This window comes from Homo sapiens, chromosome 17, assembly GCF_000001405.40.
Source record: "Homo sapiens chromosome 17, GRCh38.p14 Primary Assembly".
Classification (NCBI taxonomy): Eukaryota; Metazoa; Chordata; class Mammalia; order Primates; family Hominidae; genus Homo; species Homo sapiens.
Genome location: NC_000017.11, coordinates 51,268,257 through 51,291,490, shown reverse-complemented (window position 1 = coordinate 51,291,490; position 23,234 = coordinate 51,268,257). Strand labels below are relative to the sequence as shown.

At 39.7% G+C, this 23,234-nt stretch overlaps 1 protein-coding gene across 3 annotated transcripts in view; it reads right to left on the bottom strand.

Annotated features, from left to right (window-relative positions):
• Positions 1–23,234, bottom strand: part of UTP18 (UTP18 small subunit processome component) — a 37,388-nt gene that overhangs the window by 6,443 nt on the left and 7,711 nt on the right. The window contains exons 4-12 of one of the 3 annotated variants that reach the window (XM_011524870.3): positions 22,587–22,654; positions 18,041–18,129; positions 15,500–15,625; positions 14,187–14,361; positions 11,386–11,486; positions 11,012–11,102; positions 6,123–6,246; positions 3,288–3,462; positions 2,299–2,943 (exon numbers count right to left, since the gene is read on the bottom strand). In XM_011524870.3, coding sequence (XP_011523172.1) covers positions 2,902–2,943; positions 3,288–3,462; positions 6,123–6,246; positions 11,012–11,102; positions 11,386–11,486; positions 14,187–14,361; positions 15,500–15,625; positions 18,041–18,129; positions 22,587–22,654 — 991 coding nt within the window. In that variant the 3' untranslated portion in view covers positions 2,299–2,901. Of the gene's footprint in view, positions 1–2,298; positions 2,944–3,287; positions 3,463–4,676; positions 5,009–6,122; positions 6,247–11,011; positions 11,103–11,385; positions 11,487–14,186; positions 14,362–15,499; positions 15,626–18,040; positions 18,130–22,586; positions 22,655–23,234 lie in introns of those variants that run through there. The other 2 variants (NM_016001.3, XM_006721930.4) reach the window with 2 other exon arrangements.

Sequence of the window (23,234 nt, the reverse complement as noted above, 5' to 3'; positions counted from 1 at the left end):
AGTGCTGGGATTAAGGTGTGGGCCACTGCACCTGACCTATTTTTAAACTTTATCTCTGCTACTGACTTGGAATATCGGGAAAAGGAGGGGAATTGTTTACAATGTCCTAAGAGATCAACAGCATCTACCTGCAAAATTCCCCAGTGTAATCTCTCAATGCATTGGTGAATCTTCCCTCAAGCCAATGATCTCACCTGATTAAAACTATGCTGTGCTCTGACATCTATTTATAGCCCCCATTTTAAAAGGTATAATTGAACTATTAATTAGGAAAAATGCCTATAAAGATCCAACTTCTTTAACTCCTGGCCTCAGGTGATCCATCTGCCTCGGCCTCACAAAGTGCTGGGATTACAGGCGTGAGCCACCGCAGCCAGCTTTCTAATACCATTTCTATCACGACAGTTAAGTGTACAGATATCAAAATTCAACAAGTAAAAGCTCGCTCATCCTTGATTTAATGGGTAGAAAGTTCCATGACGTTCTACTATATCCAAAATTGTCGATGTAACAGGAATTTGACTTCTGAGTCTCCTACTAGTCCAACAGCTTAAATTCACAGTGCTTTGTAATGGGATGACAAAACCGTCTAGATCATTATAAGGAATTGACTGCATTTAACAATGCTAACAATGTTTTTTACAAGGCATTATATGGAGCTGCTATGCCTGGCTTCTTTCCATTAGATATTATGGTTGACTACCATTTAAAAACTGTGATTTGGCTTTTACTAATGAATTCCTTATGTGATTTTGCCACAATAAAAAAAATATAAATGCTGTCATGATCACTGAAGCAAACAATGCAGAACTATTATGTGTCTTGCAGAATATATTATGTCAACAGGAGATAGATCCCATGGTTTTCTAAAACAATTTACTACCATTAAAGTGATAAAAGGTTAATATTACTAGTATACCACTCCCATTAGGGAGCAGGGATTTTAAAGCTGACTTGAATTAGAACCTTCTCATTTATCAAATGATTCATTCAACAGCATAGCAATAAAATGCTATGCTGTAATTTTCACACTCTTTTTCCAGCAAACCATTTTGTTGTTGTTGTTGTTGTTTTTGAGACAGACTCTTACTCTGTCACCCAGGCTGGAGTACAGAGGCACGATCTTGGCTCACTGCAACCTCCACCTTCCAGGCTCAAGCCATTCTCCTGCCTCAGCCTCCTGAGTAGCTGGGATTACAGACGCCCACCACAATGCCCAGCTAATATTTGTAATTTTAGTAGAGATGGGGTTTCACCATGTTGGCCAGGCTGGTCTTGAACTCCTGACCTCAAGTGATCCACCCACCTCAGCCTCCCAAAGTGCCGGGATTACAGGTCTGAGCCACCGTGCCCAGCGCAACAAAACATTTCTTAAGGAAATCATATGCAGAATCCCAATATATATACCACAGACAACAATGACACTGCTCTACATGATACAAGTTAAGGAGCTTAGCCTCCTCCTTGCCCTACATGCCATATAAAGCCCTGTGCAGAATCTAGGGCTCTGTGGAATTCAGCCAGAAAACCAATGAACTGCTAGAAAAAAATGTGGAATCTAAATCACAATTCTGCCCTTTATTAACTGTTTACTTTGGTTAAGTTAATCCTCTGAAGAACTGTTACTTGGCTCAAACTTTTTGTAGAACTCTTTGTAAATCTTTGTAAACGATATATTCTAATACAAAGCTGATGGCAGATGCAAGGCTTTTTGCCAAGTGAGCACAATAAAAATAACACACTTTGTAAAGTGCGTACAATCTGGTAGTACACACATAGCAGCAAACATAATTCTGCTATTCAAAGTTCTATGCCTTCTGTATACCTGGTGCCTTGAGCAAAAAATTGTTAAATGAATGAGAAAATTGGCTCTGCCTGAAGATTAGGAAACTTCACAGAGATGGGGTGACACTGAAAGTGAGCTCTGATGTTGGGCAGAAAAGAGTTTACATAGGCCCAAGGCTGCTATCCTTAGAAAGTTCTGGGCTGGGCACGGCGGCTCACTCCTGTAATCCCAGCACTTTGGGAGCCCGAGGCAGGTGGACCATGAGGTCGGGAGTTCGAGACCAGCCTGACCAAAATGGTGAAACCCCGTCTCTACTTAAAAAAAAAAAAAAAATACAAAAATGAGCTGGGCGTGGTGGCGCATGCCTATAATCCCAGCTACTCAGGAGACTGAGGCAGAAGAATCGCTTGAACCCAGGAGGCGGAGGCTGCAGTGAGCCGAGATCACACCACTGCAGTCCAGCCTGGGCAACAGAGTGAGACTTGGTCTCAAAAAAAAAAAAAACAAAAAAAACAGAAAGGTCTGCTTACAAGGGTGGCCACTGCATAGTGTCGGAGAATTTGACTAGCACACAGTTCCTATACTGGCATGAAACTTTCCCTAAATGATATGGGTAGCTCACTGTGCCTAAACTGTTTGTACAAACAATGTGGTTTATGCTAAACACCTGGCTTTTCTTCTGGGAATCTAGAATTTTGGTACATGCTAGGCAGAGGGTACCCTATATGAAGTCCCAATAAAAACCTTCTGCAATGAGTCTCTAATGAGCTTCCCAGGTAGAAAACACTTAACACATGTTGTTACAACTCATTACTGGAGGAATTAAACTGTCCTGTGTGACTCTACTAGAAGAGGACTCTTAGAAGGTTTCCTCCGGACTTTACTCCATGTACCCTTTCCCTTTGCTGATTTTGCTTTGTATCCTTTCCACTGCAATACATTTTAGCCATGAGTTCAATGAACATATGCAGAGTCCTGGAAGTCATCTCTCGTTAGCCACCAAACCTGGAGGTGGTCCTGCGGATTCCTAACACAAAGGGTATATTCAAAGGTACTACCTAGCTATTTAAATTACAATACTTTTATACAATTTAATTTTCAAGTTCAACTTACTTTCAAAACCCGAGAATTGCCTCCGTTCTGTTAAGACAACAGGCCTTAAAAAGGTAAATGAGGAAAGAAAATTGTGAAGGAATGAAGTGTCTGCCTTAAATATAGTCCTTAACATTAATACTAAAAGAAACCTCTGAAAATGAGGACCACTTTAGGAATGGTGAGAATGGACAGCAAAGCTTTACTGAAAGAAGTGACATAATCAAATGTGGTGGCTACTGTGCATCCTTCCAACAACCACATCCAAAAGCTACAATACTAATAATTCCTATATCAAAAGAAGCCACTGTTTTAAAAATAATTCAACGCTCTCCTTTCCTGTTACTCTTGCATGTTTTCAACTTAAATTTAAAAAATAACAATAATAAAGGGGTAATGAAATATTTACCAATCTGACTGCTTCTTTCATTTTTTCTGAAGCAATTGCCAAGATTTCTGTAGTAGGATTGAAGGTCAGAGAAGTAACACCTGTAACCAAGTTCATTATAGCTTTTATTGGCTTTGGGTTTGTTTCTTGGAGACAAGAATCTTGATTGTATATATTTACCACTCCACAATTAGAACTACAAAGAGAAAAGGATTAAAATAGATTAAAAACCAAGTAAAAGGGCTTTCACAACCTAAGTGAATATAGATTTAACCCCACAAACTGGTATTTACAGGAATCATGTTACAAAGAGACCAGCTATCACCACTATAGCCACAGATGTCCTATAGAACCTCCAACCAAACAGGTTGAAAACAGAATTCAAATTCTCCCCCTTCTGTTGACTTCTTGAAGGCTAAACTTTACTGACTCTTCTTGCATCCTGATTCCTTCACAGTCACCTCTTTCTCCACTGATTCTTGTCCCCAGGATTCTATTTCCAACCTACTTCTAGTGTCTCATTCATCTCATTTACTCCCACAGACCACCTATCACCCACCACATCCAAATCAGTGCCTTTAGTCCTAATTATGCACTGCATTCCTAAAGGTTTGTGGGGGTGGCCACATGCATATTATCTCTTCTAACACCATCACCCCTCCTCCCGCCTCCCTTCAATGACAATTCCACTCCTCTGGTTGCACAGGCCTGGAGCCTGAGAATGTGAATACTTCTCTCCCACTCCCCATCTTCTAAGCACTTATCAAATACATTACAAACATCCTTTGCTTATTCCCCCACTGCCATTCCTACTGTCCTGGTGACTCATTACCTGATGCCTGCCTATTGCTGCAGTGACCTCAAGGCTCATCTCCCTGTCCTTTCTTCCTCTTCTAAAAGCTTAAAGATTTGCTTAAGATTCTTTAAGAATAACTTGAAGATTCTAAAAGCTTAAATGGTTGTTGGCCAAGCACATCAGAAATCAATTACACTGAAGGGCAATTAAAATTAAATGAGTTTAAGCTACTAGTATTAGATTCTTTCCTATATAGGCCCTTCAAAGGGGGCTAATAAAAAGTGATACAAAAAAGAGAGGGCAATGAAGACTGGCTTCACAAATCTGAGTGAAGATCATTTCTGCGCAGTTTTTCTTGCCCCATATAGAGGCAAATGCAGTTCTTAAAACTACTTATAATGGACACAGGAAGGGGAACATCACATACCGGGGCCTGTGGGTCGGGGGGGGAAGGGGGAGGGATAGCATTAGGAGATATACTTAATGCTAAATGATGAGTTAATGGGTGCAGCACACCAACATGGCACATGTATACATATGTAACAAACCTGCACGTTATGCACATGTACCCTAAAACTTAAAAGTATAATAAAAAAAATTTAAAAACTACTTATAATGAGTTTAAACAGCAGTCTTCATTTTAAAGGAGCTTTATTCCCAGAAGATCTGCTACTCATGAATTGCTGCCATAGCGCACACTACCCTGGTAAATGCTTGGCTTGTGCTGAGATGTCCCTCGCTACAGGGTTGGCACGGGTATGGGTAGGAAAGGAAGGGGCCTTCATCAGGGCACTCTCCCTCCAAGGGATCTGTTACTGTCTTACTGCCTAAGGCAGATGGCCTGGTCTCCAAGCTCCACAGCCTAGTTCTACTTGCCTTTCCTCCCAAACTCCAATTTGCAAACGGTGGTAGGGATATATATACAAGCAGTTTCCCCAGTTTTAACCTGGAAGGAGAGAGTGAACAAAGAGTAGAGAGTATGCTAAGTTTCTGGACAACAAGACCCCTTGACTTCCCATCCCAGGGAGGATTTGACTGAAATCATTTCATGGCTCAATTGTGTTTGGTCTAAGAAAATCACAAAAACCTACTTCTTGAAGTTACAGAATTATGGGTTCTAATTAGTGGTTTAGTAAGGTAGCTTAGAATTACTGCGAAGTATCCAATGCCTCATCCTCTCACCCTGCATCTTCAGAATCAAGTAGTAGAACACAGCCATCTTTTCCCCAGTGTAATAACCAATGTTTTCAGTAATAGCACAGTACAATGTGTTCTAGATAATATTTTTAAAGTTTCTACAATACTATCAAATGGTATTTCCTAGGAACATGTTTTTTATTTATACCCCCAGCTGGATAAAGGAAAAATGCTTTAGGTATCTTTAAGATTTAAACCCAAAGTTACTTATTCTATCTCCTCATCAATGACAAGAAGCTGAAAATAATTATAGGAAAACTTGATGTGATCAAACAGGTATTTTAAATAGGAAAAAATACAATGATATAAGGTAGCGCCAGCATTTTCTTTGCTAAAAAGGTGTTCAACTGCAATTATAGTAATCCCTTCTTATCTGGCAGGGCGTATGTTCCAAGACCCCCAGTGGATGCCTCAAACTGTGGATTACTGAACCCTGTGTGTACTGTGTTTTCTCCTATACACACATCTCTATAAAAAAGTTTAATTTATAAATTAGGCATAGTAACAGACTAACACAACTAATAATAAAACAGAACAATTGTAACAATATATCCTAATAAAAGTTACGTGAATGTGGTCTCTTGCTCTCAAAATATCTTACATAGATTTCAGATTGTGATTAACCACAGGTAACTAAAACCACAAACAGTGAAACTGCAGATAAGGGGGGAACTACTGTAATATTATTATTCAACACTGCACAAAGATGATAAAATGAAAAAAGCTCAGCTGGGTTGACCAATTTCATATTACTGAATAGTTTATAAAGAGAACTACTCATGCACCACCTAGTATATTCAATTCCTCAACATATTCTCATTAGCACAATGTGATTAAGGTTACAAGAACCTCTCTTTACTTACCCACAAGCAACATACTGTCCATTCCTAGATGTGGCAATGCTTAATCCATATAAACTGCCTTCATCAACAAATCTGTTAAGGCACTTCCTTGAGTTCACATCCCAAACATAAACTTCTCCATCCCCTGCATAAAAGAGCGAAAAAAAGAGTTGTTAATTTTGCTTTAAACTTGAAAGGCAAGTAAACTGGCCACTCTCAGTCCCTCTTAACAGTACAGGAGACTACAAATACAGACCTATTATAACCCTCCTAGTTCTGGAAAACTGGACTAAGAATATTTCTTTTCTTTTTTCCTTTTTTTTTTTTTGAGATGCAGTTTTTCTCTTGTCGCCCAGGCTGGAGTGTAACTGCGCCATCTCAGCACACTGCAACCTCCTTCTCCCGGGTTCAAGTGATTTTCCTGCCTCAGCCTCCCGAGTAGCTGGGATTACAGGTTTGTGCCACCATGCGTAGTTAATTTTTGTATTTTTAGTAGAGACAGGGTTTCACCATGTTGGCCAGGCTGGTCTCGAACTCTTGACCTCAGGTGATCCACCTGCCTTGGCCTCCCAAACTGCTGGGATTACAGGTGTGAGCCACCATGCCCGGCCTAAGAATATTTCTTGTATACATTCACATATACAAAAGAAAACTGCATCAGTTAGTCATTAATAGACAGTACCTTTAGGTTTACAGGAAAAAAATCACAAGCTGTTGGTTTGAGTTGAACTTTTAGAAAAAGCTTCTAAGTTCCACTCAGATAAATTATTGAAGCAAAAATCTGAAGCAAAACAAAACACCACTCACTAGTGTAACTCTTCCAACATCTATCAACAGGTATTAGACTACCTAATAGGCAAGGTTAGCGATTTAGATACCAAAATGTTAATGATGATGGAAGAGGAAGAAGTGAAAAATGAACGGATCCAGAACACGGGAATTTATAATTAAGAAGACACACACAATTTATCTATTACCAAGTTATTTAAATGATTAAAAAAAAAAGGCTAAACACAAGCTTACGAATAAGCACAAATAGTTTACTCTAATGACCCTACATCCATCTCAAAAGTGGATCCTCACTATTTTACGTCTTCCTTTTTCTAGTACCTCAATATCCTTCCTTGCAGGATATTGCTCTAAAGTTCACCCTTCCATATGTACTCTTATTCTCCCAATGAGAATTCAGTGAATCTCAGTTTCAACTCCCTAACAAATAAAATGTTCCAGGCTAGAGTAAGCGTGCAGGTTAAGCAGTAGTAAAACACATTTGGGAAAACTGAATAGGATCAAATATTAAAACCTTTGCCTTATATGTCTGCCTGTACATTAATGTTATAATAAAGGAAAGTGTTTTAAAGATTAGTCTCTCAGTAGACTAAAATGGGAAGAGATCAAAAGCAAGAACATCTAGAAAGCAAGTGCATGAAATGGTCATGAGTTGATGACTTATGGCAAAAAAGGCAACATGAGATGGCCAGGCATGGTGGCTCATGCCTGTAATCCCAGCACTTTGGGAGGCCAAGGCAGGTGGCTCACTTGAGGCCAGGAGTTCGAGACCAACCTGGCCAAAATGGTGAATCACCATCTCTACTAAAAATACAAAAATTAGCTGGGCGTGGTGGCACATGCCTGTAATCCCAGCTACTCGGGGAGGCTGAGGCATGAGAATCGCCTGAACCCAGGAGGCAGAGGATGTAGTGAGCCAAGATCACACCACTGCACTCCAACCTAGGAGACAGAGCAATGCTGTCTCCAAAAAAAAAAAAAAATCCATGAGTAAACAAAGACAAAACCAGTAAAGTTAGAAAAAGGTAAATTCTTCAACTCTTTTTATCTCAAATTATTCTTTACATGTAACAATGTAATGTGAACAATATGTTACTAATCACACAAACGACTCCATACAGAATAAGAAAAGGGTGCACACGCAGTGGCTCACACCTATAATCCCAGCACTTTGGGAGGCCAAGGCGGGCAGATCACCTGAGGTCAGTAGTTCAAGACCAGCCTGGCCAACATGATGAAACCCTGTCTCTATTAAAAATACAAAAATTAGCCGATGTGGTGGTGTGTGCCTGTAATCCCAGCTACCCAGGAGGCTGAGGCAGGAGAATTGCTGGAACCCAGGAGGCAGAGGCTGCAGTGAGGCGAGATCACACCACTGCACTCCAGCCTGGGCAACACAACAAGACTCAGTCTGAAAAAAAAAAAAAGAAGTGGCTGGGCGCGGTGGCTCACGCCTGTAATCCTAGCACTTTGGGAGGCCGAGGCAGGTGGGTTGCCTGAGCTCAGGAGTTCGAGACCAGCCTGGGCAACACAAGAAAACCCCGTCTCTACTAAAATACAAAAAATTAGCTGGGTATGGCGGTATGCGCCTGTAATTCCAGCTACTCAGGAGGCTGAGGCAGGAGAATTGCTAGAACTTGGGAGGCAGAGGTTACAGTGAGCCGAGATCGTGCCACTGCACTCCAGCCTAAGCAACAGAGTGAGACTCTGTCTCAAAAAAAAAAAAAAAAAAAGAAGAAGAAGAAGAAGAAAAGGAGGAAGAAGCGGAGAGAGAGGAAGAGAACCATCAACATTTCAAAATTACCCCTAACTTACCAAGGCTCAACTTTTGATTTCTCCTTCCCTGCTTTCTTAGGACCTTATGATAAATTAGATCTCCACAGCCATGACCAAATTTGTAAATACATTATATCTGCGTCCAATTCATATATCAAATTTCAGTACTTCTGCTGACCAACCCTCCCCACCTCTTTTCCCTCCCCAACCTCTTCTCCCTCCCCGACTCTCTCTCTACCAGGGCCAAGGGCCATTTCATCAGGAATATTACTCTGAACTAATTCTTTCTTTCTTTCTTTCCTTCCTTCCTTCCTTCCATCTTTCCTTCCTTCCCTCCCTCCCTTCCTTCCTCTTTCTCTTCATTTTCTTCTTTCTTCTCACAAAAACTAGTATAATATAGAAAATATAGCTGCTCCTGGCCTTATATGCATTGATTAAAAACATACCAATGTAAATAACCTTGTGAAAGTCTGATTCTAGGACAAAAACAAAACAAAAATTAATGTTAAGCTAAAATTAATCCTTTTTAAAAGTTAAAAAATAATTTTAATTAATGCTATTAATTTTATTAATGTTATATTACCAAATGCTCCTAGCTGAGGTCAAATAAAAATTATGCTAAAAAGCTTTACAGAGGTTGCTGACTACTACCCACAGAGCAGAACCACTTGAAAGTCTCCCGCTACCAAACACAGCATTAGCTATACTAAGATTATGTAGCTGTCCCAAGGGATGGCCCCCATGGTCCTTTGGGATAGACAGTAAGAGTTAACAAGTCTTAGGGAAGTCAGAAAGGTAGAAGAGCAGGACAGTGCAGGTTAATCAAAAGAGCTACAGAAATGTCAGGAAGGACAATAATGTAGAAAATTTAACACACCATCAAAGTCAAGAGAGTATTGCTACAAGGGCTGATGATTTTAAGTAACTTTCAAAAAGAAAGTCAGAAAACCTTCAAATGAATCATCTTTTTTTAAATAATGTCTGCCTTATCTTTTTAAGAAAGGTAGGACTACTTATTTAAAATTATGCCTTTTAGATTCACACACACTGTAAGGAATAATACAGAAAACACAGTGTACTCTTTACTTTACCAGTTCCCCCCCAATGTTAACATTTTGCATAACTACAGGACAACATTACAACCAGGATAGTGACACTGATACAGTCAAGACACAAAACTTCCCATCACCACAAGGACCCCTCCTGTTGCTCTTTTATAGATACCTCCACTTCTCTCCTGCCCTCAAATCCTCCTTAAACCCTCACAACCACTAATCTATTCTCTATTTCTACGATTTCATCATTTCAAGAATGTTAATATAAATGAAACTGTAGTGGAAGTTTTTCCTTTGCCCCCTGAAGGTTTCCTGAAAACCAAGTGACAAAAGAGAGAATAGAGAAAAAAAGGCATGTAAAATTTTATTTTAATTTTCATAGCATGGGGAATCATAGGAGAATGATTTACCCCTGAATAATCTTTTAAATAAGCATTATCTTCCCATTCTTTCCCCAAACATGTTAAAACTGCATGTTAAATTGTTAGTCCTCCACTATTATTAATGAGAAGGCAATGGCAACAAAAATGAATTCTAAAAATAGATCTGATTTTCTAGCTAAAAAGAAACTTTAAAACCAAACACAACTTTTCGTTTAAAAAAAATATATATATATATATATATATATTTTGAGACGTGATCTCAGCTCAGTGCAGCCTCTGTCTCCCAGGTTCAAGTGATTCTTTGCCTCAGCCTCCCAACTAGCTGGGATTACAGGCGAGCGCCAGCATGCCTGGCTAATTTTTGTATTTTTAGCAGAGACAGGGTCTTACCATGTTGGCCAGGCTGGTCTTAAACTCCTGACCTCAAACGATCCACTCGCCTCAGCCTCCCAAAGTGCTGGGATTACAGGCGTAAGCTACCGCGCCTGGTCCTAGGTTTTTTTGCTTTTGTTTTTTGAGACAGAGTCTTGCTCTGTCGCCCAGGATAGATGGCTAAAAAAAAAATTTTTTTATTGAGATGGAGTCTCGTTCTGTCCCCCAGGCTAGAGTGCAGTGGCCCAATCACAGCTCACTGCAACCTCTGTCTCCCAGGTTCAAGAGATTCTCTCACCTCAGCCTCTCAAGTAGCTGGGACTACAGGCCCATGCCACCATGCCCAGCTACTTTTTTTCTTTTTAGTAGAGACGGAGTTTTACCATGTTGGCCAGGCTGATCTTACCCGCTGACCTCAAGTGATCTGCCCATCTCGGCCTCCCAAAGTGGTGGGATTACACACGTGAGCCACCGCGCCTGGCCTAAAATTTAAAATGTAAAAATATCCTTAGCTTCTTTCATGTCGTTGTCTTACCCGAAGAGGCGTATACTTTCTTACTATCTGAAGAGAATGTGGATGCTGCAACCCTTCCATTAATTTTCATGCTTCCAATCAGTTCTTTGGTCTAAAACAATAAATATTATTTATCAAACTGTTAGAAAGTATACAGAAGAATCACACAATGTAGAGTAAAAACAACCTAGTTCTCTATTTTCTAGCACCTACTCAACTTTATTTTTCCCTGTAATCAAAAGCTCTCCCCCAACTGCCCACAACTTCTCTCCAAGTCCCACCTGTGCTCCTCTACTTGGAGATGCAGATTTAAGGACACACTGAGTTAAGGTGCAAGACTATCCCTACACTAGTGTCTTGTGGGAGAAGAACAAGAAGCAATAATAATGCTTTACCTTCATTGCTAGCAAATGCAAATATCCAGCAATGCCATTTATGAGCAAGAAGGACCCATCTGGGGAGACTTCAAAGCTCCTCACTATCTTCTCTTTCAAACCTAAAATAGGAAATGAAGCAATTAAATAAAGTTTTATATAGTTTTCAATAAAACTATCATCTATTGACAAATGAGTTTCTTACTTTTTAAAATACGTAAGTGGCTCAAATTAAACAAAACCCTGGCTCAGACCCCGAATAAGTCTAAACGCAGGCATCACTGAGTTTGACCCAAACATAAGGTCACTACAAAGCACTTAACAAACTTCTCTTCTTTGTCCTGGTTAGCATTCACCATTTTAACTGCAGGCCAGAGACTCAGCTCTCCAAACAGTAAACATATCAACTAATTTTCCAAATATATGCAGTAATACCTCTAATTTACTAAAAGGATAAATTATACTTCTTTGTCACAAAGTTCATTACCAGAAGGGAAATACACTGCCACTAGAGACAGCCAAAAACATAAAAACATATATAAACTAGCTGCTGGCCACTTACTAAGCAGCTCATGATGGACAGGAATCTCATCTTTAACTTTGTGAGTCAAAAACAAAAACAAAAAACAAAAAAAACCCCAAAACTTTTCACAATATGTCAGTTTACTTAAGGACTGACTAGCTTCTCTGGATGTGACACATGTAACCAAATCATATATGAGAGCTAGGTATATACAGTCAACTTACTTACAAAAGGACATGTCTCTTTTTCCATGACTGAAAGGTTCATATTGACTATACAGGGGACTCCTCCTGATATCAAAATGCTTAGAGAGCCAAGTTACTCATTAAAAAGTTACCTAACAGGATGCATCAGAATGCATACAACTGGCTACCTCCAAGGAAGGAAAGCAGGAAGACAGGGAGACAGAGCAGAAGAGAGTTTTCACTATCCATTCATTTCTACATAGTAGATTTTTAACACCGTGTGAATATATTGCCTAGTCAAAAATATATGTCTATATTTTTAAAATTTTAAGTTACTAAGTTACAATATTAATTAGAGAAAAAGGAGTTACAAAAATCTGGTTAAGGACCCTTGTTCCACTACAGGAAAATACAAATTAAGGCTACTTTCCACTACTACAAACTGGACATCCCACTCTAGTCCTGTCTCCCAAAGACTACATCTTAGTTCCCTTGCTTGGACTCATGCTCCCCAATATTATTTCAGACACATACTACATTTCCAATCACTGGGGTTACTTCTGCTGATGACTAGTCTCCTTACTATGAAAGGCACTCCACTATGCCTATTAAGGGTAATTTTAATCCAAATTTCTGAATAAACCGTATGTACTGACTAAAGTATACTGAAGTAGTTCCAAACATAAAGAAAATATCATTACGTGATGAGGTAGGACAGGAGGCTTGTTCTAACACCATGTGAAGCTACAACTGGAAACACCTACAGACCTAATCCTAACAGCACAGTATCAGGCGGTGGAAATGTGAAAACAGAAAAAGGAGAAATACTGGGAAGGAAAGATCAATGCCATGTCTCCAAAGCAGTTGGTGACTGGACACACACTCCTGCCCACCTAGCAGATCCATGGTAAAGATCACTAACTGTATCTTGGCCAACGCATGGTGCGCTTTCTCTCAAGAGGATGCAAGACAAGGAGATGCCAGAATCCATTACTTTTGAATAGTGAAATGACATGTAAAAATAGTAACTACTAAATATTGTTTTCTATTTCAATATGAGAAGATGGTTTAAGACTTTTTAACCAAGTGAGGTCCATGGACCACACAGTATCACCATCACCTGAGAGAATCAGAAATGCAGACTCAACCCACCTAAGACCTACAGAATCAGAATCTGCAGCTTAATGAGACCCCCAGGTGATTCACGTGCACATTTACTTCTGAGAAGCTCTGCCTTAGGGTAAACCAAGGATCTACTTGGAAAGGATCAAAGTGTCAGGAACACAGGAAAGAAAAGATTGGAAATGCTAAAGATAAACATCATAAATGTTTCTAAAGTTGGCCCCATCCACTTTCAACCACTAGTAGAAAAATGGTTGTACAGAGCTACTCTTGTCCTTTCCAGCCACATGCATGTACAGTTTAATAGGGAGAGCACCAGTGAGCCGTGCCATACGCCAACACTACCTCCTGAGATTAGCCAGACAACCTCATTAGAAGGGCTTTGGTTCCCAAAGGATGCATGAAGGTGTCGGTGTATTTTGGGATATAAAGGAGCAGGGAAATATAGGAAAAGAATGGGTATGGTAGAGGGCAGATAAATTTTCACCTCCTAAAAAAGCGTTATTTTTTAAGTAGTTCATTCTTTAAAATACAGAAGTACCTCCAAAAGCAGTGCTTTATTCCCTTTAAATATAAATCAAAATTTTATTATAACTAACACTAAAACTACAGAGTATCCAAGTTTCCTGAAGATCAGAGAGGTGAAACAGTTTGTCCAAAGAAATGGAATCCAGGTCTTCTAGCTCCATGGCTCATGCTTTTTCTGCTGCATCAACTGCTAACTTTACAGCCAAGTATTTGCAATTGCTTGTCTGGTGTAGGGGGAATATATATTTCCAAATTATGATCATTCCGTAAGTGTTCAGTAAAAAAGTTCACTGGTTTCATTCAAACGTGTTATCTCAAAAGCACAAAGACATTTTCCAAACACTATACCTAAAGAAACTCTTATTTTTAAGAATCCTATGGAGTGAAAAAAGTGTTGTAAACACTGTTACATAAACTCACCTTGGGGGGAATGACTGGTTGTGTGCATTCAACAGAAATCTTACCTCTCACTTGATGCACAGGAATTAACTTTCCAGCCAGCATGTCATAGACATAAAGAACCTTGCTGTGGGTACTCGTGGCTAAAACTTCTTCCCCATTAGCACTAAAACAAGCCTTAAAGATTGGAAACCTTTCCAAATAGATGCTCTGAATTTTAGGATTTGTTTTCCCATCAACCTATAAAGAAGTACAAAATGGTTCTTTTGATTATTTCCACAGACCCTGTATCCTGGTAGTATATACTTTTCACTACAAGTGTTCATTTAAAAATACATATCCAAGGGGCTGAAGGCTGACTTAAGCAGCCACGGCCAGTGATTTAATCAACCATGCCTATGTCAAGAGGCCTTCATAAAAAGGCTTAACAGAAGGTATTCAGAGAGCTTCTGGGTTGCTGAACACACGGAGGTGCTGAGGAGGTGGCGTGCCCTGAGAAGGCACGGAAGCTCCACGCTCCTTCCCCATACCTTGCCCTACTAATTTCTTGAGTTTGTCCACCCACAGATAAGGAGATAAGAGTCAGTCCCATCCAAACTACATGAACTGGACCAAGTGTTATTCTCTAAAAGAAAACTGGGATACCCTATCCAAGAGCAGATACTGTGAAGCACCTGCAGGACTGAATGGTTACATTTGTGACCATGTGTTCACCATCTATACCCCCATCAGAGAGTGACATCCTGAAGTGAAGGGCCAGGTCTGTTGTTTATTGTTGCAACCCAAGAAACCATCAATGTACATCAGTGTTAGATTAAACATGGAAGACCCAGTAAAGTCATGAGGTTATATTATCGCTTTGCTCTAATAACTCACCAGAAAATTAAAAGAACACGTTTTTGTAGAGAGAATATATTCACTAACATGATTAATATATTCTTCACTTCTCAATCTATTATTTTAAACCACTATTTTACTGAACTTTTATATTCAGTGGAAGAAAAATTTTACTCCAAATCCCCTATTATTATGGTTCCTTGTACACTGAAGTCATACAGGTGCATTCAATAAAAATGTGAGTGGGCAAGGGATGGTGAGCGACCCAAACTGTGAACAGGCAAGGGGTGAGCAGCTGTGATTGAAAACAGTGACGACAGACTTTGGAGCAAGAAGCAAGGGCAGTATGCTGACTGGATGTTCTGTTTTGTATTTCCAAGTAAATGAACTCTGTCACTTCTGTGAGACTTAGCTATGCTTCGGGCTATGATGTTTTAGCTATGAATATCTTTTTCAGTATTTTTGCATTTGGGGTTGCAAATGTCTGGTCCTTAAATAAAAATAATGCATTAGAAATAAATAAGTAAATAAAGATGCATACCTGAAATAGTGATACAGCATTATCTAATCCAGCAACCATCACAATCTGTGCACCGGGATGGAACTGCACAGATGAGATCCGAGCAACAGTAGGACGTTCAGCATTCGCATGCTGGCAGTTCTTCATCTATAGGAAATGAAAGCTGGGATTTTATCAATTGAAATGAATAAACATTATTTTCTTTAGAGTAAGAAGAAAAGACATTACAGTTTATAATGAAGGAAAAAAATGCACTGGAATGGTAACCAAACACAACTCAAAAAAAAAAAACAAAAAACAAAAAAACCGCAGCTCTGGCACCAACTAGCAAGTCACTTTACCACAAAAGAATCCATTTTTACCATCTTTCAAATAAAAAGATTAAATCATTAAAGTGCTTTCCATATCTAGAAGTCTGAATGTATTACTCATTCTTGGAGCACTAGTATGTAGTCATTTCCCCAAAATACATCCATTTGTGTTAAGAGACTTTCACTTCTGAGGAAATTTCACTTAAAACTTCTACTTTGGCACCTGGCATCTTTGCATTCATGGCACAAATGCAAGAGGCACTGCACAGTTGTCCCCACAGTTCTTCAATTGGCACAGGTTGCTTTATTCTCTTAGGGTACATGGTTCCAAGTTTAAAGTAATGGTAATCTCACATCCATCACCTGGACTATTTTGTTATTTATTTTGTTTTTACAGGTTTCCCCTTGAATTTTTAAAATTCAGTTAAAAACAAAAGTATGTGTTTTGTTTGTAACCACCAAGTTAAATTTTTATGGTAACTACAACTTTTTTTTTTTTTTTTTGAGACTGGGTTTCACTCTTGTTGCCCAGGCTGGAGGGCAATGGCGTAATCTCGACTCACCACAACCTCTGCCTGTTGGGTTCAAGTGATTCTCCTGCCTCAGCCTCCCAAGTAGCTGGGATTACAGACATGTGCCACCACACCCAGCTAATTTTGTATTTTCAGTAGAGATGAGGTTTCCCCATGTTGGTCACGCTGGTCTCAAACTCCCAACCTCAGGTGATCTGCCCGCCTCGGCCTCCCAAAGTGCTGGGATTACAGGCGTGAGCCACTGCGCCCGGCCATGTGGTAACTACATTTTTAATGGAGGTGAATTCACCCGTAAAGAGCTAAATGAATTGTCCTCATAAGGTGCAAGACAAAATCACTGTATCTAATTTATCATAATAGTTTCCCCTGCCCCATTTAAATACTCCTGCCATGGTGTAATAAGAAAAGAGACCTATGTCGCTGGGCGCGGTGGCTCACGCCTGTAATCCCAGCACGTTGGGAGCTGAGGCGGGCAGATCACCTGAGGTCAGGAGTTCGAGACCAGCCTGACTAACATGGAGAAACCCTGTCTCTACCAAAAAAACAAAAACAAAAAAAAATTAGCCAGGCATGGTGGTGCATGCCTGTAATCCCAGCTACTTGCGTGGCTGAGGCAGGAGAATTGCTTGAACCCGGGAGGCGGAGGTTGCAGTGAGCCGAGATCACGCCCTTGCACTCCAGCCTGAGCAAAAGAGCAAAACTCTGTCTCAAAAAAACAAACAAACAAACAAAAGATATCTATGTCACAGAGAGATCTGTTAATATGACAGATATTTAACTAAAGTACTGCCCGTTAGTATGACAGATATTTAACTAAAGTACTGTGCTACATAGGCAGCTGGTTACCATAATGAACATGCTAGACATAGTGATGAGTTAGAAAGTGAATAGTGTAGACCACTTTAGAGAAAGTCTTGTCTAAGGTGCCATTTGAGCAGAAAGGTAAGAATGAGCTAGCCATTAGGACTTCCTGAAGACAAGGCAGGCAGAACAAAAGAGAAAGAGCAAAGGTTCACAGGCAAGAAAGGACCTAGCAGCATGTCCAAGAAACAGAAAAAGGCTTGTGTGACTCAAGTGGGAAATCATGGGAAACAGGTCTGATATGAGGCTAAGGATCCAGGCAAAAGCCAGACTGTAAAGGGCAGTGTAGAATACGATAAGGAATTCAGAAGTTTTCAAAAAGCAATGAAAAGTGACATGACCTGATGTTTTATTTTTAAAAGATCCCTCTGGCTGCCATACAAAGAATGATTTAAAAAGAGGTAAAGTAGAAGTAAAGAGTCCAGTCACAAAGCTACTGCAATATGCCAGATAAGAGATGACAGCAGTATGAACTAGGCTGATGCCAATGAAAATGAAGATAAACCAAACGGGATTCCTAGAATTACTGGAAAATTTATTTATTTATTTATTTATTTATTTATTTATTATTTTAGAGACAGGGTCTCGCTTTCACCCGGGCTAAAGTACAGTGGTTCCATCACAGCTCACCGTAGCTTCAAACTCCTGAGCTCAAGCAATAGGAACATAATACCTCTAGAACATTTTTTGCAAAAGGAAAAAAAAAAAACAATAACATAAGTATTTACCAGGGCAAAATGACAGCAAACATATTTAACCCCACAGATAATAGGAATCCATACATCTGCTACTGGGAAGCAAATTAAACTGCAGAGGTAAGTAGTTAGATAGGATCCCCCAACTTCACTGACTCTCACCTTCAAGATTCCTCTTGGAAGAGAAGTTGATGTGGATATGAAATTCCCAGTCCTTTGCAACAAATCATCTTCATCCTCTTCACTTTCATCTAAGTCAAACAAACCCAGAAGGCTGATCTTTAGAATCAATGAGCTGCCCCTTTTACCTACCCCAAACTTCTATGAATATATTTTCAACATCAACTCCCTTTCCAGCCTCCCTACCTCAATTGCTTTTTTTAAAGCTGCAACTGGCAAAAGCAAAACAGGAAAAAAAAAAAAAAAATTTTAAAGGAGAAGAAAAAGATGACACAAAGCTTAACATCCATAGTTAAAATCAAAGTTTAACTCTAGAATGAAAGACTAACACATACACAGATGGTTACTAAAACAAGATGAAGTGAAATAAAAGTTTAAAGCCAGCATTTCATTTAAAAAGAGCAACTCATAATTATGGCAAAATTGGCAACAGGTTGGCTACTGATCTAGTTTAACAACTCACATGAATAAAAACCAGAACTTTTAGCTGAATGATCAATGTCAGCAATCTATGTATCAGAACTTCAAAAAGAGCAAATAGGGCTGCTTTTCCCCCTGGAGATGACTGATGATTCCAGTGGAGACAGCTAAGAAGCTGAGCAAACTTAAAACACTTGCGGAGCTAAGAAGGGAAAAACTAGCTCTAAGCTTCTTGACAGGGTCTGGTAAGCCACCAGATTTTGGATTGCGGCCACAAAGGGCTACCACTAGGATTAAAGACGAAATCAAAGAATTATAAGAAAATCTTCCCAAAACTGAAATTCTGCTTCACAATTCCTCATTAAAATAAAACGTTCTGGGATTACTAGTGTCCTCTGCCAAGCTACCTACCTAGAAGTAAACATATAAACCATCATCCTAGATCTAATTAATCTACATTATTTTTCATATGCAATGTCCACCACTCAATGAAATATAACCAGGCAAATATTGACAAGATAACTTGACTAAAAACCACAAGGAAAAACAGACAATCCCCACAGGGATCTAAACAACGGAATTATCAGACACAAACCTTAAAAATACTATGTTCAGGCCAGGCGCGGTGGCTCACATCTGTAATCCCAGCACTTTGCGAGGCCGAGGTGAGTGGATCACCTGAGGTCAGGAGTCAGAGATCAACCTGGCCAACATGGAGAAACCCCGTCTCTACTAAAAATACAAAAATTAACTGGGCATGATGGCTTATGTCTGTAATCCCAGCTACTTGGGAGGCTGAAGCAAGAGAATCACTTGAACCCAGGAGGCAGAGGTTGCAGTGAGCTGAGATTGCGCCACTGCACTCCAGCCTGGGCAACAGAATAAGACTCTGTCTCAAAAAAACACAAACAACAACAACAAAAAAAACTATGTTTAATATATTTAAGAATGAAAGACAAGATTCAAAATTGAGCCAGAAATGTAGAATATTTGAAAAAGAAATTCTAGAGCTGAAAAATACGTAATTAAAAGTAAGCCCCCAATAGGCCAGGCATGGTGGCTCATATCTGTAATTCCAGTACTTTGGGAGGCCGAGGCAAGTGGATCACTTGAGGTCAGGAGTTCGAGACCAGCCTGACCAAAATGGTGAAACCCCGTGTCTACTAAAAATACAAAAATTAGCCAGGCATGGTAGTGCACACCTGTAATCCCAGCTACTTGGGTGGCTGAGGCAGGAGAATCATTTGAACTCAGGAGGCAGAGGTCGCAGTGAGTGGAGGTAGTGCCACTGCACTCCAGCCTACACGACAGAGCAAGACTAACTCAAAAAATAATAACAAATAAAATTAAATTAAGCCTCCAATAGATGTTTTTAACAGTACATCAAAATTAGCTGTAGAGAGAATTTGTGGTCTAGAAAACGAATCAGAAAAATATACCCAGACTGAAGTACAGAAAGAAAAAGGATAAAAAACACTGAATACCAATGTGGGCAACATAATAAGATCCTGTCACTACAAAAAAAAATTTTTTTTTTCATTAGCTGGGCATGGTGGCACATGCCTGTAGTCCTAGCTACTCCAGAGGCTGAGGTGGGAGGATTGCTTGAACCCAGGAGGTCGAGACTACAGTGAGCCAAGATCACGTCACTGCACTCCAGACTGGGCGATAGAGTGAGACCCTGTCTCAAAAAAAAACCAAACCAAAAAATAGGTGGAAGACATTTAATATACGTATTACTAATAATCTAGAAAGGAAGACTGGAACAGAAACAATACTTGAAGACAGGTGAGAATTTCCAAAACTTACAGAAGACATCAAGCCAGTTCAAAAGTACTATGAAGTCTAAGCAAAATACAAAGCAAGCTAAAATGATAGGGAGAGGGGATAAACAAAGAGCAACACAATACAACAATTCATAATATTAATGAATTGCTGTTGATTTTTGGAGCTGTGGTTATGTTCAAAAGGGAGAATTTTCTTATAACGAAACTCAGTAAATATTTACAGATAAAAATAACACACTGGAGATAATCATGAAGCTGAGTGCTAGTCACCATTCTGTCAACAATAAGTATACCTTCAACAAGTCACTATCTCTTTGAACCTCTCTCATGTACAAAATGAATGTGTTAGACAAGCATATCCCATACTGTAGCAGACTAATTGCTGACTTAATCCACTTCCTTTTTCTCCTGTGCACAAAGCCAAACTACACTTCCTAGGATCCTCTCAGCTAGTGTGGCCTTATGACTGAGTTCCAGCCAACAAAATGTAGGCAAAAGTATCCTGTACCATTTCCAGGAAAGGCCAATAAAAATCCCCTCTTTCTCCTCCTATAAGCCAAGTGGATGTCAACATCTTAGGCAACTCTGGAAGAACCAACCTGAAGATGACAGAACTTCTATAAACTTGGGTCCCTAAAGTAAACCATCACCTTCCTACCACCCCAATTTTATGTGCTGAAAAAACCAACTTCAATTGGATTATGCCACTGGGATCTGTGGGATTTTGTTTCAACAGCTAGCATAACCATACCCAAAATTACAGGAATCTAAAATGTTGTGGGGTTCTATAAATGCAGCATTCTGAAATGGATAATAAAATTATGTTTCATCCAGGAGGGCAAACTGGTGATCTAGGGTCTAGAAGTACGCCACCAAAAAAATGGTCAAAATAACGAGGGATGTTTAACATATTAAAAAACAAACATGGAAAGAGGCTTCCCAAATGAGAGAAAAAGAAGATAATCTATATGTTTCAAACCGTAGGAGTAGAGACTTGTTGGGACATACATTTCAAAATAGGAAAAACTGTCTAACAGTTCTTAAAGAAAAGGGAAGAAGGGGAAAAAACAGTTTAGTAAAAAGTACATTATTTAGGCCAGGCACAGTGGCTCATGCCTGTAATCCCAACACTTTGGAAGGCCAAGAGTTCAAGACCAGCCTGGCCAACACGGTGAAACCCCGATTCTACTAAAAATACAAAAATTAGCCAGGTGTAATGGCGCACACCTGTAACCCCAGCTACTCAGGTGGCTGAGACAAAACAATCACTGGAACCCGGGAGGCAGAGGTTGTAGTGAGCTGAGATTGCCCCACTGCACTCCAGCCCTGGGTGACAGAGTGAGATTCTGACACTGACACACACACACACACACACACACACACACAATACATTATTTGATATATTTAAGCAGAGGATAATGTAGAAAAGATTACTGCAGTGGATAAAGTCAGGCCACATCACTAAGATTCCTTCAACCTCTAAAAGCAAATGGCTAGAAACAAAGACGGTCAATTTCTACTTAGTAACAGATTGTCTTTTCTAATAGAATTATATAAAACACTGGCTCTTTGTATGGACTCCCTGCATTTACGTACCATGAGGACTAACAGGGTAGGAAGAAAGGGGACAAAGGAGGTGGTCATAATCAAACTGAAGCTCTACGGACATGAAGGATGCTAAGGAAGGAGCTCCCACATGATGTGAGAGGATATACTCCGGACTCTCAGGATTTCAAAGGTTAATTCCAAGTCTAAAACATGTAACTCCAAGCACACAAACCAGATTTTAGCTAAGCCATCCATATTTATAATAGCTAAACTCAAAAGATCGAAGAAGCAGAAAATAGCCATGGTACAAGTTAAATTTAAAACCTACAGTCAAAAAACAGATTTTTTTGGTTTTTTTTTTTTTTTTTTTTTTTTTTTTTTTTGAGACAGAGTCTCACTCTGTCACCCAGGCTGGAGTACGGTGGCACTTATCACTTATCACAGGTTATTGCACCCTAGTCTTCCCTAGCTCAAGCAATCCTCCCACCTCAGCCCCCCAAGTAGTCGGGACTACAGGAACATACCACCAGGCCTGGCTAATTTTTGTATTTTTTGTAGAGATGGGGTTTCGCCATGTCACCCGGTCTGGTCTTAAACTCCTGGACTCAAGCGATCCACCCGCCTCGGGCTCCCAAAGCACTGGGATGACAGGCGTGAGCTACCGAGCCAGGCAAGAAATGCCAGGTTTTAATGAGCCTCATAAGAAAGCTCAAATAATAACGAACAGGAACAGGGACTTATGTACTAATTTAAACAGAAATATCAACGCTCACCATCTGAAGATGTTTTCCGCTTAGTAGTCTCTGCCCAGGCAGGTACTCCTCCCATGGCATGTTGGAATCTAAGCAAAAATATTTGAAAAATATATTTATGGCAACCACTACATGTCCATAAAGCTTGATACATTTAAAGCATATACGTTGAATCACCCTTGAGAATACGTATGGACTCTCTTCCAAAGAAGTAACTATCTTTAAGAACAGAAGTTATTATCTTTACTCACACAGAACAGTCCCAACCTGCCTATACTGGAAACCTCCATGAACCTCTGCCCACTTAAACTAGTCCTGGATACATATTTTTTGTTAATTATTTCCATCTAGTTACATGGTTGTCTTATTTGTTCATATCAACACATCCCAGATATCAGGACTATGTAAAGAAGTCTCTTTGTGGTTTATGCCACAGTACATAGACTACACACTAGAACACGTCTAAAAGAAACTGACCAGATTGTTAAGAATATACAAAACTTCATTATATATCATCTGAATAAAACAGAATCACTTCACTCTGGAAAAAGTAAGCTTTAACAGAAGCATGATAGCTGTGTTCGTAAGAACTGGTACCTGGGCCGGGCGCCATGGCTCACGCCTGTAATCCCAGCACTTTGGGAGGCCAAGGCGGGCGGATCACGAGGT